Source organism: Homo sapiens, chromosome 18 (genome assembly GCF_000001405.40).
Source record: "Homo sapiens chromosome 18, GRCh38.p14 Primary Assembly".
Lineage (NCBI taxonomy): Eukaryota > Metazoa > Chordata > Mammalia > Primates > Hominidae > Homo > Homo sapiens.
In genome coordinates, this window is record NC_000018.10 from 44,038,314 (window position 1) to 44,043,208 (window position 4,895).

Sequence of the window (4,895 nt, forward strand, 5' to 3'; positions counted from 1 at the left end):
CGTCTTATGTACTCTGGGTTATCCTTCGTTTCTCAAATTGGGCCCATTAACTGTTAGAAATCCCCTAGAATCCATGACCACAGTTCCCATTGATATGATGCCGTAACCTGACCCAGGCCTTAGGAGAGAGGGCATAGTGTATTTGTACCACCTCCCCAGAGACCAAATGAATGGCTCAGTGTCTATTAAGATGTGGAGTAGCTAAAGGAAACTGGAAGGGAAATCAGAAGCTGAGCTGATGGGAACAAGCAAACGTGACTATTTAACGAACTTGATGTTATATCTGAGTTGTCCTGTGCTGAACACAAACAGAACAGAAGAAAGAGAATATATACAAAGGGTGTCAGGCTGAACATAAAATTAGGATCCTGGAGTACAACAAAGTCAGGAATCATGATGTCTGGCAAAAGAGAGAGAGAGACAGACAAGAATGGACCAATAAAGTAGGTTATTAGGAGATGATGTAAAATCTCAAGAGTACTAGATCAAGTGAAGAGACAAGTAGCAATTCCAGTATTCAATAATTACCCGCTGTAGAATTGTGATTGGTCAGGATACCAGGAAATTATTCAAAAGTGAAATTATGGAATCTGGTTATATCTCTAGTCAAATTCACCCAAAGTTAGTTAGGGAGAAGTAGTAATGGAGACAAGTGCAGGTAAAATGGAAATTTAGACAAGAGGAATGATCAGCGAGAAGAAAAACCTCCAGACTTGTGCAGAATGGTGGCACAGATATGACCAGTGGCAGGACCTTTCTAGTAATATCATTTATTTGTACGTTTTATTTAACTGTGATTTTCTTTCATGTCGTGCACATAGTATCAATGTTAACAAAAGCAAGGATAGAAATAATCATCATCATTTGCAGGTGAGAGGAGGATGAACCAGCATACTGAAGTAATTATCTCAGGACTGAAAGAGCCTGCAAACCAACTACAAGAGTTGGTAGTATCAATCCTGTTACTGGAAATGGGCTGTGTAGCAGATATTTTAAATATTGGTGATTTTCCCGTGGTTTTAAATGTTCCCTAGAATACGTAAGAGATGTACTATTAACATAAGGTTTAACTTTCCCAGCAATCTTATCTGTATGGAATCCCATTGTGAAATCAGGAGACTGTAAATCTCTAGGACTACCCACTTTTGCATGGCTTCCTGTTGTGTTGTGGCTCTCAGAACCATCATAAAAACAGAAGAAAGCAGACAAAATGTGGAGCTATACCAAAGTCAAATTTAGGCAAAATGATATCTTGTAGAGTTAAACTTTCTCAGAAGCAGTGAAAAATGATTGTATCAACTACCAAAGAAAACAATTCAGAAATTAATTGCATGGAAACCGTTTTAACCACCCCTTCAAAAGCCCCCAAACCAGTATATGTATGGAAATTCACATAAATATATGGGCAAAAAAGCCTGTTACTGGCCATAGTTCAGGAAATCATGTCAAAAAAGTTTGTTTTAAAGAAATTAAAAATTCTTAGGCTCCAAAAGTTGTGAGATGCTCTACCCACAGTACCCCAGGAGCAGAAAGTAGCCACATTTCAGATTTACCATCTCTGGACAGTCCCAATCCCTCGCTATCTTCTTAAATGACTGCTCTTTCCATGGTAGCCCCAGTCACTTTCACATATATTGTAGAAGAACTACAAAAGGAAGCAGCTTTATTTGAAGTTGAGAAAAAACCCTGGCTCTGATTCAAACTGAGGAGGATGCAGTACATGATTTACTGGTTTTCTATCAGGCATTTGGCAACCCTGAGGAGTTTGTCATTGTTGAAAGGATACCACAGGGACCACTGGCAGTACCTATGTGGAATAAGCATGGATATTAGTTCACTGTGGGGTTGAGATACATTTTTCAAATTATGATTGTTAGTATAAAGAAAAGTTGAGGAAAAGAGTTCTTATAAATTTAGTAGTATCATATTAAATAGAATAAGAAAGGTTCTAATTTCCTTACTGTGGTTTAAGCATATAGTGTTTGATTAAAAAGAAATTCCTCAGAATTGTGATTTTAGTATTTTTTCATGTAAAAATGTATAAGAGGAAAAACTTATTAGGTTAAGATTAAATTGGATTGTTTCTTCTGAATAACAAACACTGAATAATCTAACAAATGTATGAGTAACTGAATTGTAAGACAGAAAGAACTACGTATAAAAAATAACTTTTTGTTTTAGACTTTAAAAGACCTTTCCAAATATTTGTTGTCACTATGCTTTATAACACAACACTGAAGTGTTTAAAGTACGGGCATCAGTCATTAATCTAACCTATTAATGGCCAGAATTTCGTGTTTGCCTCAATGGTTGTATCAACGTTCTTGTTGCTTTTTTCATAGGCTATGAGTGTGTTCTAGGTTTAAAGACTGATCTGTTCAAATGCCGTCTTTCATTTTAGATGGCACATTCTCCATTTTGCATTAAGCAATGGAGTATAGTGGAAAGGGAATAAGAACACTAATTATTCTAGACCGTTTAGTTCAAGATAATAGTTTGTAAGATTTAGAGTCATTGTGGGCTTTGATTTTGTTTTCATTGGGTTGGAGGATCTTACAATAGCCTAATTGTGACAAAATTAGTTTCTGAAAGTGTTAAAATTTTCTAAAATAAATGTTTAAGTATAAACATAAGAAATAGTTTGGAAAAGAGTTCTCATTACCTTCACAATATTGTATATTCAGAAGTTCTCTGAGCCTATGTTGTATATCTAGAAAGAGAAATTAATTTATTTATAGTATACTATTTGGTTTGAGTGTTTAAATCTTTTTAAAAATGTTAAATTTGTGTTCTAGTACCTAGATAAATCGGGAAGGTTAATGTTCTAGTTTCTGAAAGATAAGCCTCGGGGAACACACAGCAATTCGCTGCTATAATTTAGCTGGAAAAATGACTTAAAAAACTCAATATTTCAGGTTTAGCTCTACCCATGTTTAGCAGACATGTAAGCAAATGTGCTATAAAAAATAATTTTGATCCATTTCAAAAACTCTTATCAGTGTCCTAAAATTATTAGTCATCAAAACTAGAGTGTTGGTCAAATGAGTTTGAGTCTAGTACTTTTTTTTTGGTCTCCTACTTCCTCATAAATTCCAATGCGTTTGTTTTACATTAAAGCAGAATGGTTGGGAGCCTGATATGACAAATACAAATATTTCATTTTCTTTTCTCTTGCCTTCTTTTCTCTCACATTAAAGTTATGACAGGCTTAAAATTCTATATTCCAAAGTGAAAAGCAATTTCTTTGCTTCTGCTATCCAAACTTCTTAATGAAGGACTAATGGGATCCAGAAGGATTTCAAAACCTGAAACAAATCCCAAGACAGCCAGATTGACCTGCTTCTCCCTGAGGATTCTCTCCTTGATCTGCACACACCACACACACAAGCCAGCAGCGAAGTCACATGTCTCTCTCCTTCCCCCTCACTCCCTCGCCCAACCTCGCCTCCTGTTCCTTTTCTTCCCAGATCTTTCCTCATTTAGGAAATTAGACTTTAAAAAGAGACATTCCATGTGAATGGTTCTGCAAATGGAACTAGTCCTTCAGAGCAACAGCCCTTCATCTTTATGGGGGAAATGGAGTGAGTTGGGATGGGGCTTGAGGAGATAAAAATGACCAGCTAAATCTCAGATTTTTTTCTTAATTACCAAAAAGAAAAGAAAGGTGAACTGTTCTCTGAATGGAAGAGCCTTCCAGAAGACCAAGTAAGTCTTCTATAAACTGATTTCCCTTCCTGACTGTGATTTACTGGACTGACACCTAATTTGTTCTGAGCACAGTTGATGCCTCAGACACAATGGCGGATGACAGCCCACATAACCTCTCTTTCAGCTTTCATCTCATATATTCCATTTGAAGTTGAGTTCCGACAAGAGAGAGGCACAGAATTAATATTACCTTGGATCGGCTCAGTCTCCAGAGGGAGCAGCAAAAGCTTTTCTGGAAACAATAAACCCTTTAAACATGACAAGGGAAATGGGACCTCAGGAGGTCTCTGAAAGTATCTATTATTAAAGAAAAAGAGGGGAAAACCCTCGTGGGTGACTTTAATTTTTTTTTTTTCCTCAGCAAAAGCAATGATGAACTAGTGCCAGTTTTACATACAAATTTAAAGATCTGGGATGGTTTATGTTAAAAAATCTCTCTTTCCCCTACTCCTTAGCATATTAAGTAGAGAAAAAGAAATCTTTATGAACTATATTTCTCATGACATTAATATTTCCTTTCTGTTTAATCTGTACTAAACAAAAGTGAAATAAAAATGGAAAATTTTCACAACAGAAGCCAGAGAGGAAAAACATGTTATATCCAATCACATATATATATATAAGGTCAAATTTAATGATCCAAATATATGTGTGAGTCTCAAGAATCAGAATATTTAATTGAAACTTAATAGTGTGAATTTCCACAAAATTCAAACAAGAAAAAGTACAAATACAAATATGCCTATATAGAGAATGTATATTAATAGCAATATCTTACATTAGTACAATAATTTTTAAAAACAAGTACATTGACTCACTTGACACTTAGCACAGGTGGTCTGATATTTTTTAAATCTTTTTGTCAAATAATATATAATAATAACTCCTCCAACTATAAAAGAATAAGAAAACAATGCGAGGCAGCTTCAGGATAATACACTGTGTGTTGAACCTGGAGTTAAAAATTATGTTCTTTTGTCTTCCTACTTGTACAAATTGGGTATTCTTTCTGGGCCTCAATATCCTTGTCTGTAAGATGGGTATAATAATAAATATTTCACAACATTCTTGAGAGTCAAATGGAATCATTTATATTAGTTATAAATAAGTGAACATCCTTGCTGGGGGCACTCAGGAGCATTGTGGCTCAGGCTTAGGATGACAAGAACATTGGGCTGAGCATGGGA

General features: G+C 35.5%; 1 pseudogene; it reads left to right on the plus strand.

The window, feature by feature from the left end:
- Positions 1,164-2,026, plus strand: IBTKP1 (inhibitor of Bruton tyrosine kinase pseudogene 1; annotated as a pseudogene).